Source organism: Homo sapiens, chromosome 18, assembly GCF_000001405.40.
Source record: "Homo sapiens chromosome 18, GRCh38.p14 Primary Assembly".
In the NCBI taxonomy this organism is placed as follows: Eukaryota; Metazoa; Chordata; class Mammalia; order Primates; family Hominidae; genus Homo; species Homo sapiens.
The window spans coordinates 38,024,899-38,036,349 of record NC_000018.10 but is presented as its reverse complement, the minus strand read 5'-3'; the positions used below and the strand labels follow the sequence as shown (position 1 = coordinate 38,036,349).

Here is an 11,451-nt window from a genome sequence, read left to right as displayed (position 1 = left end):
TGTGTGCTACAGTGAGTAGATATACTTGAATTTTGTTTCTAAAAAGGAAAACAGGATATGTGTAAAATCACAGCATAAATATCAAATTGGCATAATTTATAAAGAATATGGAAATTAATGATGTAAACATAACTTTATCTTTGAAGAGTGTCTATGGGTAATGTCTTCATCCATAAATGCCACCCAAATGTAAGTAAATTGCGAATTTTAAATTAATTTGCAGAATGCATGCAAATAACTTAAAAATTCTACGTACAAGTTAATGCAAATATTGTAAAACTCCTGAAAATAGAAATGAGTATGCTTAACTTTCTGCACCAATAAAGCTAACATTTACATTACTATTTCCTTTCAACTGAGGTTTGTTTTTCTTCACCAAATGAGTGTAATGTGATTGTGAGATTTATCCTGAGGTGAGCATTCTGACTTTTATCTTTCTTAAAATCCTCCCTGCTGCATATATGCAATAATGACCACCCAATCAGAATTGGTCTCTCTTCACCCATGGTCTGCAGTTGAGCATCCTTGTCTCATCTCACTGGGAATGTACTTTCTTTCTCTATCCTAATACTACTCAAACATTACAACATATAATGTCCATCATGAAAAACTGAGCTTCTTGCTTATAAGTGCACCCTATTTCTCACATGATATTAAAGGTTTTTAGTATTCTACGGAAATTTCATTGTGGTCTGAAGCAACCAGGAAAGGCTTTGAAAGGAAATGTAAACCTGAACAGCCCTTGAAGAACAAAGACTGTTTGGATGGGCAAGAGGAGAGGGCAAAGCCCTATGTTCTAAAAGATAAGACCTAGATGAGTGAGGGTTAAAGGAACACACTTGCTACTTTTCTGAGAGCAAAGGCCACTTGAATGAGGGTAGCTCAAATGCAGAGCAATAGCAGAGCCGACTACAGACTACACCCTACAGATGGTCCTCCAAACCAGCCAGTCCAACCATGAGACAACCCTCTCCAGCTCGGGTTATGCATCCCCTGGACCAGGAATTCTTTTGGCTTTAGACTAGCACGTGGGTAGCCCTTGCATTGCTTTCATGGCATTACATCATCATTGAGTTCTTGGCACATTGGTTAGCTTCAAATTTACTAGTATTCATTATTTGTTTTAAAAAAAAAAGAAGAAGGAAAGAAAAGAAAGAAAGAGGATAATTTACATTTCCTGATTCAAAGCCAGGGCCTATTCATCATCGCCTGCACATCGCTTATAAAGATGATAAATGAATGTATAGTAACTGAACCCTAAAACAAAATAATGTGTTTTTCTTAAAGCTTCACAGGGCTGCATTTCCGTTGTAATTAGTTTACTTTTTTTAATCAAATTCTGTTAAGCGGCAGTCAAAATGAAAGCTGATTTTCAGACTGCTAAAAGCAGCCCAAAAAAGAGGAGAGAAAATAAGGATATTTTTTCACATTTAATGGTGCAAAAATATCAAGGTAATTGCATAACTTTCAGAAACAGCAAGAATATAATCATGTCTCACTGATTGTATGATATTCAAATATAGGATGCTATGAGAGAACCTACCATTTGATAGAAAACCTAGTTCAATTGCTATTCCATCTTTGGAAATTCACATTAAGAAGAACATCTTTAAATTTCCATGGGTCTATATCACCCATAAGATAAATTCCAAACACCAAAATATTACCATTTCAACTTCATACTCCTTCCTAAAGTTAATCCCTGTTCTCTCGAAAGTATCCACTTATTTCATCTCACAGTTCCCTGTTTTTGAGCCTCATGTTATTCTCTCAGCCTGCAGTGGAGTTACTGCTACATTCTGCTAGTTTGCTTCCCTTCTCTGTAAAGCTTTCTCTGGCATCTTCACCAACAATGGTAGCTCATTATGTAGCTAGATATTTCCATCACTCACATTTCACTTAACACATAAACACTCTTGACATTTTCTGTATTGTTTTTAGATTTTGAATGGTTATTAATTTCTCAGATGTGTGGCTTGTCTCCCTGACTAGATTTCATAATCCTTGAGAGTAGAGTTTAATATACAAGATTATTGTTGAATACAAGACTATTGTTCGTAAACTGACAATATTGGGAGAAAGAAAGCAAGTTCTCATTGGGCTATGGCAGCGATGCTACCTCACTGATGTGAGCTCTCATCAGTTGCATCCCAGCCTTGGAGGACCTGAGAGTCCAGGCTAGCTTTCCTGTTACCAAGAAAGCAAGTAGAGGGGAGGAATGTGTGCCCATTGTCCTATGTGACATGTGCTGGAGAGCTTTTCTACATAGGACCTGCACATGAAATACAGTGGAGTACTTGAAAATTTCCTGGAGTAACCCTTTCCTTTTGTTTAACATTCTTTCTTTTCTTTTTTTCTTTTTGAGACGGACTTTCGCTCTTGTTGCCCAGGCTGGAGTGCAATGGCACGATCTCGGCTCATTGCAACCTTCGCCTCCTGGGTTCCAGCGATTCTCTTGCCTCAGCCTCCTGAGTAGCTGGGATTACAGGTGTCCGCCAACACACCCGGCTAATTTTTGTATTTTGGTAGAGATGGGGTTTCACTGTGTTGGCCAGGCTCGTCTCTAACTCTTGACCTCAGGTGATCCACCCTCCTCGGCCTCCCAAAAGGCTGGGATTACAGACATCAGCCACCACGCCCAGGCTGTTTAACATTTCTTGCCACTATTCTCTGAGGTCCTCAGCCACCATCCCCAAGCACATATTCGGTCACACAAAATATCCCAGAATAATTATGCTCTTAACACTCCTCTGCATTTACCATTTTATTTGGACCTGTTCTCAGATCTTGCCTTCTTTCTAGGGAAGCATGTGTAAATGGCCTAGACTCTAGGGCCTAGAGTATGGCACCTTCCAGGAAATGAGTCAGGTTCTCCCCATTCCTGTGCTCATGGTGCTGTAATAATGAGTAACTGCTAGCACTAAGTGAGCACAAACCGTATTTCAGGAAATCTATCATATGATTTACAAGTTTTCAATCTTACTTGTTTCCAACATTTTGTACATAATATTGCATCCTTACTGATAGCCTTGGAGGAAGAGGTATCCGTCTTCCTACATAAACCTAATGTGTTACTTTGTCTCTAGATCTGATGCCTACACAAAGATTTTTAGTCTTAGAGGCAGACTTTTTCCCTTCCTTCCTTCCCTCCTTCCTTGTTTATGAGATGTCTGTTCTTCTTAAGGTACCCTTTATTTTCCCCCAGAATTAATTAGCTGTGAGTCTTCTTGTTGACTTTGCCCATATTACAGAAAGCCTTTTCAATGCGCATGCACAGCTCTTCCCTAACTTTAGGAAATGTTTCTTCTACTTAATTTATATTCATATGTTGCATTTGGAATACCTTTAATACTCTTGTTTGGGAAAATCAGTTATTGATGACCCTTTCCTCTCATTTGGGTGTGGGGAATCTGAGGCACACATGCTCCCCAACTAGCAGAGCCTTCACATCTGCAAACTTGTCTGGATTTTGTATGTCTGGATCAGTGGTAGATGAGGGATACCTGAGGTGGCCAGGGAAGCTACCTGGGAACATTCTCATTATAGCAAGCAAGCTATTCTCCTAATCCAGTGGTTCTCAAACTTGAGCAGCATCAGAATCACCCATAGGGCTGGTTAAAGCACCAACTACTTGGCCCCACTCCCAGAGTTCCTGACTCAATAGGTTGAGGTGTTGCTTGAGAACTTATATTTCTAACAAGATCTCAGATGCTGCTTCTGCTGCTAGCCCAGTGATCATATTTTAGAATCACTGTCCTAAATAATATATCCAAATGATCTTGTCAGTATGAAAGAGAATTTGACAAATGGCTCTTTTGTTTTCAGAAATAATTAACAAATATATTTATCCACACCATCCAGTGGGTGTGTGTTTTTAAATCAGCTTTCAAGATAGAAGTCAGAGCAAGGCAATCTCCATTTTGGAAAAGTTTTTCAAGCTCATCCTTCGCATCACTGATCAATAAAGTTCCAATGTTGCATCACATTGCCAAAAATGAGGACTTTGGTTTTGGTGCTGCAATTTCTATTTTATCATGCTTTATTTTCTTATGCAGATTATCTTCCCACCTATGTTGTTATTCATTTCATCACATTTGTAGTTTGATTTTAGCCTTTTCAATACTTATGGATTTCTTTCCTTATTGCATGTAGACTATGCCTTATATCTTACTAAACATGGCATGCAGTTTTCTGAAATTTTTTCTGGTTATTTTAGTAAATTATTTTCAAGTCTTAACTTTCTATTAATGTTTAGGATAATATTTCATATTCTTTTGTCTTCAATATTTTTGTCCTAGGTTCTGGTCTAGTTTTCCTATGTTCCTGCATCCTTAAATAATGAGATTTACACATATCAGTTCAATATAGGCATTTAGTACTCCTTTTAGTGATTCCATATTTCAAGAAGTCGTGATATATTTCAATCCAACCTTTTTTGAGAGATATGATGTGTAAACATGCTTTGATCGGGCCGGGTGCGGTGGCTGACACCTGTAATGCCAGCGCTTTGGGAGGCCGAGGTGGGCAGATCATGAGATCAGGAGATTGAGACCATCCTGGCTAACACGGTGAAACCCAGTCTCCACTAAAAATACAAAAAATTAGCCAGGCGTGGTGGCAGGCACCTGTAGTCCCAGCTGCTACTTGGGAGGCTGAGGCAGGAGAATGGCATGAACCTGGGAGGCGGAGCTTGCAGTGAGCCGAGATCACGCCACTGCACTCCAGCCTGGGCGAAAGAGCGAGACTCCGTCTCAAAAAAAAAAAAAAAAATGCTTTGATCTTACTAGTCACCTAGCATTTGTCAAAAAGCAAACAAAAACAATAGCAAAACCTTCTCAAATCTTCAGCTGGATAGCAATTTGATAAATAATCCAACTAGACCAAGGCTGCTTTGCTGGATATAGATTCTTAATATCTTATTCTATTGCCTGATTCCTAGAACTGATGCTATCTATAATAAACAAATACTTAAGTAATATTAAATAATAAATTAAAACTAAATTAAAATTAAAACTAATTAAAATCAAACTAGTGTGAACTGTTGTTAAGGATGTTCTTATTTTTGTCACTCCCAAGAACACTGTATGTATGGGATTTATCAATCAAAATGCCAAACGCCAAAGCCATTCCTTGTTTGCACCCCATCCCACCCTCTTCTTTCCCTGTTATCTAAAGATAAAAGAGAAACAAACTCTGCTGCAAAATGCTACATCAATGCAGTGAATTTGGGTGATCTCCCAGTGTTATGACCAGCATAGACACCAAAGGTAATAGGTATTGAGCCTAAAGAGAAGACCCCAGACAGGGTAAATGAGCATCTTTGGGGTGCTCACTAATGTGGGGCTGCATGAAAGGCCACAAATGATTTTTCTCAATACAACTAAATGAACCATATAAGTGTTAAAATATCTCCAAGAATCTGGCACTGGCTGTCTGCCTTAGTTTCTCCAGAGGTTATGAGTAATCATTTTTTAAATTTGCGACAAAATTTCCATTGGCTAATGTGTGCAGACTATTCCAGAGACTGCTAATCAATGCTCATTTAACCAGAAATCAGAATAAATTTTCTAATATAAATGTTGTCATCTCTTCTCTTTTTCACAGTTAAAATCCTTCAATATCTCCCCATCAATGGCAGGATAAACCTTAAAATCCCTTAGTATGAGACACAAAGTGTTTCACGTTCTCATCTTGGCCACCTGTCCAGACTTCTCTTCCATCACCCTCTCCCAGTATTATGGACTGAATTGTGTCCTTCAAAATTCCTGTGTCAAAGCCTAACCTCCCAGTGTGACTGTATTTGGAGATGTGTCCTCTACGGAGGTAATTAAGGTTAAATGGAGTCTTAAAGGTGAGGTCCTGATCTAATAGGATTAATGTTCTTATCAGAAGGGACACCAGAGAGTTTGTGTACTCTCCCTCTCTCTGTGTCTCTGTCTCTCTCTCTCTCTCTCTTCAACCCCACTCACCACCACCCCTGCCCCTGTGCACGTGCACCAAGGAAAAGCCATAGGGGGACATAGCAAGAAGGGGGCCACAAGCCATGAAGAAAACACTTACCATAAACAGAATTTGCAGGCACTCAGTCATAGACGTCCCAGATTCCAGAACTATGAGAAAATAAATGTCTGTTTATTAAGCCAACCAATCTGTTGTATTATTTATAGTACCCCCAGCAGACTAAGACACTAGGGTCCCTGTTTTAGTCAGAGCTCATCAGGAAACAGAAAAAGATAGATGATCGATAGGTAAGGAGGTGGGTAGATGATTAGAAGGTAGTGGTTCACATGATTATGGAGGCTAAGATGTTCCAGTATCTGAAATTGGGAGAGAACTGGGAGAGCCTGGTGTAGTTCCAGTCTGAGCATTAGTTCAAAGTCAGGAGAAGAGTGATGTCTCAGTGAAAGACAGTCAGATAGAAAGAGCAAATTCTTCCCTATTCAGCCTTTTCTTCTGTTAAAGCCTTCAGCAGATGAGGCCCACCCACACGGGGCAGGGAGATCTGCTTTCCTCAGTCACTGATTCAAATGTCATCTCATCCAGAGACTCCCTCACAGACACACCCAGAATAATATTTTACCAAATATCTGGGCAGACTGTGATCCTGTCAAATTGACACATAAAATTAACCATCACAGTCTCCTTTGGTAGCTGTGATACTGGTTATCAAACACAACCACGGACTACACACAGTTTTACTGATTCAGCAGGTTGTCTGCTGTCTTGTCTTCTTAGCTTCCATGATTGTGCGAACCAGTACCTTGTAATAATCTTGGTGCATGTCATTTACTCCTCTGCCGTAAATGCCTTCCCTCTGCATCCCTTCACTGTCCGTGTTCACCTAAATCTCCACTCAAGGGCTGATTCCTCTGAAGCCTCTCCTGATTTCCTCAAGCAGAATTGCCACTTTAAGCAACTGATGAGAAAGCCCATATTAGGTACTATTGTAATTTTTATTTATAAATATAAAAGGCTTATTTCTCACTAGACTTTGAGCTCCTCCTGTTCAAAATTCGTCCTTATTTCTTTTTATATTTTTGCACTGAGTACAGACCATTATTAGAAAAGTACTTTAATAAGTTGATGTTTGAAGTAATGCATATTTGAAAAAGAGCAAGGTTAGAAATCGAAAGACAAGAGTATGAAACTGTGACAATGCCATCTCAGGCATTAGTGAGGGGCGCATTGCCAGGACTCCTGATGGCAGAGCATAAGGTGACTTCTTTCCCCATGCAAACATGAGCACTCTAGCCAGCCTCTGCAGCATCATCCCATCTTCTTCCCTGTTCCCATTCCCTCGATTTTGACAGATAATGGGTGGCTCCCTCAGAGACCTCTGTGGGAGCGCTCAACAATCTTAGCACCACACACCCGAAGAACAGAATTCTCCTGCCTGTCTCCACGTATAAGGAGATGGATTGCAAAGGAGAGCCCGGCTGAGTACCTAAAATGGCATCACGAAGGCCAGATCAGGCACAAAGTCCCCTGGAATCAGACAAGAAAGGCTGGCGGTGACTGGGGAACCCTCCAGGATGGGGGAAGACAAAATATGAGGATGCATAGCTAAAGGAAGCCTTCCTGTCTCAGACACGGTGCTCCCACACCCTGCCTGGTGGGGAGGAACACAGGTGCTGAGTTCCATGGTGTCAGAGCAGTCTCGCTCACAATGCCGGAGAAGTTCCCACACTCCTGGTCTGAGAAACCCGTTCCAGGAGGCAGAATGCTTGTTTGGAGTTCTAGGACAGAGAAAGACAAGAGGACAGGTAAGGTCCAGGCAATTACTGTAGTGGAACTCCTAGGTAAGGTGGAGGTAGGGGTTTCCTGCTAGAGGATGGAAAGGCCCGAGAGGAAATACAGGCACTCACTGGGAAAGTCTCGATGTGGTCTCCTATCTCTCTGTCCATCTTGATGTCCATGATATTGTGAGTCATAGTAATGCCCAGTCCCCCTATGTGTGTGCCTTCATTACATGACGGCAGACAGAGAGAAGGGTGGCCAGCTTTCAGATTTGAATGCTGTCTCTTGGCTTTCTGCTGTTTTCAAATCACCATGCCTGGGTCTTGGGATCAGATACCTGATTTCTTTAAATTTTAAGAAACTGAGAGCTTGGTTTTTCTCCTGACTAGAAAATTTGCAGCCAGTTTGCCTCTGGCTGTTGTTTTTTTTTTTTAGGGACCTGTATAAAAATTGGCCTATCTGGCCTCAACAAGTAAACCCATCCTAACTGGCGGCAGCACCACACTTAAGGTACCAAAGGGCTGCGGGTAAAGACGTAGTTACTCTCTCCCTGCTCTCGATGCCGATCTGTGTGTTGGGAAATGGAAAAAATATATATATTCAATGGCAGCTTGAGGGAAAATTGAATGTACAAGTTCATATTCACATTCATACAGACTCACCCTTCAAGTCCCGAGGGCCAGAGAATTTGGATACATTTGGCAGTTAATCTTAAAGTTTTGCTGGAATTGATAAACGAGTGCTGGGAGGGGAAGAGTGTGGTCCCTTTAAATGATACCGAAGTGGGGAAGGGAAGTGCTGGGTAGAGAAAGGCGCGTCCCTGGCTAGGGCTCCACTACCACAGACCTAGGTGAGGACAGGCACTCCTGCCTTCACGTCCAAATGTTGCATTTTCCAAGACCACTCTGGCCTGCCACGTCCCCATTCTGGGCCTATAAAAACCCCCAAGACCCTAGCAGGCAGACACACAGGCAGCCAGACATCGAGAGGAGCACCTCAGTGGAAGAAGACATAAGCAGCTGCACAATGAGAGGATGTGGAGGGCATGCACAGGCGGAACAGAACACCGGCTCACCAGCAGGCCATCCACTGGCAGGATGAGGCAGAGTTTGGCTGGGGCAGTCGGAGGAGAACCCGGGCCACCAAGCGCCCTGCCTCCAGGGGAAAACCATCTCCCTTCTGGCTCCCCCATCTGCTGAGAGCTACTTCCACTCAATAAAACCTTGCACTCGTTCTCCAAGCCCACATGTGATCAGGCTTCTTCCAGTACACCAAGGCAAGAAACCCCGAGATACAGAAAGCCCTCTGTCCTTGTGACAAGGTAGAGGGTCTAACTGAGCTGACTAACACAAGCCACCTATAGATGGCAAACTAAAAGAGCACCCTGTAACACATGCCCACTGAGGCTTCAGGAGCTGTAAACATTCACCCCTAGACACTGCTGTGGGGTTGGAGCCCCACAGCCTGCCCATGTGTATGCTCCCCTAGAGGTTTGAGCCCAGCAGCAGGGGGCACTGAAGAAGCAAGCCACACCCCCATCACGAGCCCTTGAACGGGGCAAAGGAACTTTTCCCATTTCAGAATGATTCGTTCTAAGTACCATTCAAAGTGGTGGAATCCGGCGGCATTGGCCCCGCCATCCTCTGAATTTTTAAGGCAATACTGTCAGAGTGGCAGGTAGAGCTCTGGATAGCCCACAGTGACACAGTGTAGCTGGTCTTGTGGTTGATGCGGTAGATCATGCTGCTACTGGATTCCAACCCACCGATGAGAAATCAGTGCTGTGACCACCTATGCTTTCTAGTGAGGTGGTAGCTCTGCAGAGCAAGAGAAGATATCATCTCTTCAGGGACTAGATGATCTGTAGGTGAAGTTGTGTTGTATGTCTGGGGTAATGAGAAAAGCTCTCTTTCGACTAGGTTCAGTGGCTCATGCCTGTAATCCCAGCATTTTGGAAGGCCAAGGTGAGTGGATCACCTAAGGTCAGGAGTTTGAGACCAGCCTGACCAACATGGAGAAACCCCATCTCTACTAAAAATACAAAATTAGCCAGGTATGGTGCCTGTAATCCCAGCTACTCAGGAGGCTGAGGCAGGAGAATTGTTTGGACCAAGGAGGCTGAGGTTGCAGTGAGCTGAGATTGTGCCATTGCACTCCAGCCTGGGCAACAAGAGCGAAACTCCATCTCAAAAAAAAAAAAAAGAAAAGCTCTCTCTCTTGCAGAGAGGGCTCCTGAGTGGGTCTTCCACTCTGTGAAGAAGTGCAGGAGATTTTATAGATGAGCTTGAGGAGGCGGTGTCTGATTTACACAGGGCGCAAAGGATTGGTTGGACCAGGTATGCCATTTACATAGCAAGTGAAGAAGCTGGCTACCCACCCTAATCTTTTATTATGCAGATAGGTTCTCTACCTGGCTGGTGCCATGTTGCCTGTTCCCTGACTAAACACGCGGTGACAAAGAAAAGGGAAGATGGAACCTCCATGTTGAATATGCCTGGCTCCTAGGTATCCCTTTTCTTCTGGCACTGCTGCCAGCATTTACCTGTGCAAGCTTCTAGCTTGCTTTTCTGTCTGCAGCTTGATTTTCCAGGCTGCTCTTTGTTAGAAAATAAATGATTTAGGGGCTGCTTTTTTATTCAAAGGGAAACCTTTCTGAGGACTCTCTTACCCTCACTAACTGTCTGAATAATTTCTTTTTAGCTCCTGTAACACAGGTACCTCAGCTGCCTCTCTCCTGAGGCAGGAGAAGCTGGAATGTGGGAGAAGCTTTGCCTGAGGACACAGTGAGGGCGGCATAAGTACTTCCTCTGAGTGCTCTCATCTGGGTGTCAGGGTTTTCCCTGTCCCCAACCCCTAATGTTGTCCAGGTTTATGCAGTCCTTCATAACATATTAAGTCCTTTTAATATACAGTTAGAAGTTGAGTCCCCATTATGCTTGAGTTCACAAGAAGTCAAACATTCTACAGAGTATTCATCACCAAGGAATTCCAGGAATTTCCAAGAAATGCTTACAGTTTATCCCACCCTCTGTCACTCCAGGCAAGCAGCTGCTTCTAAGGACGACACTGCTTGCTCCCCTGACATCACCTCTTCAAACCATAACTGAGTCCTGCAGGTGGCCACGGCCGACTTTGACTACATCACTAGATGCAGGAATGGAGCCTCCTCTAAACCATGCCTCAGAACAGGTTATGAGAGTTTAAATCTTTTTATTAAAGTTTTTCAGATAATAGAAGAGATTTACAATAGAAAAATTCTTGACACTGATTATAAAATGTGAGAATTCCTAGGTTGGAGAGACTGTATCTTCTATACAGCCAACCCTTCAATGGATATTTCTTGGACGTTGTCCCCCTGTTAAAAGTATGGACCCTTGTCTAACACCTCAAAGCTCAGCACTGGGAAGGAAGAAGTGGTTCTTCTCATTGTCAGTCTCACATTCATGTCCCCGTCTGCATAATAATCTGTGGACCTTTGTCCATAATGTCCATAATGGCACAGATTTATATGATGCAGCTGAACCGATTATCTCCTCCTTGTAAGTTGCACACAATCTACAGGTTCAGAAAAATATTCCTGCCACTGAAAAATAATATCAAGTAACAGTGGCTACATTTTATTGAAGCATTACTAGGCTCCAGGATTACCATCCTAATGGTATTACCTGTGTTAACTCATGTATTATTATTATTTTCATTTTGCTGCTTAGTAAA

At 42.5% G+C, this 11,451-nt stretch overlaps 1 annotated feature.

Moving 5' to 3' along the window:
* Positions 10,406–10,997: an enhancer, noted in NCBI's record as "NANOG-H3K27ac hESC enhancer chr18:35605317-35605908 (GRCh37/hg19 assembly coordinates)". NCBI's record gives its function as "activates a minimal SCP1, AML or CMV promoter by ChIP-STARR-seq in naive H9 embryonic stem cells {active_cell/tissue: H9 hESC(naive)}" and the evidence as "EXISTENCE:reporter gene assay evidence [ECO:0000049][PMID:30033119]".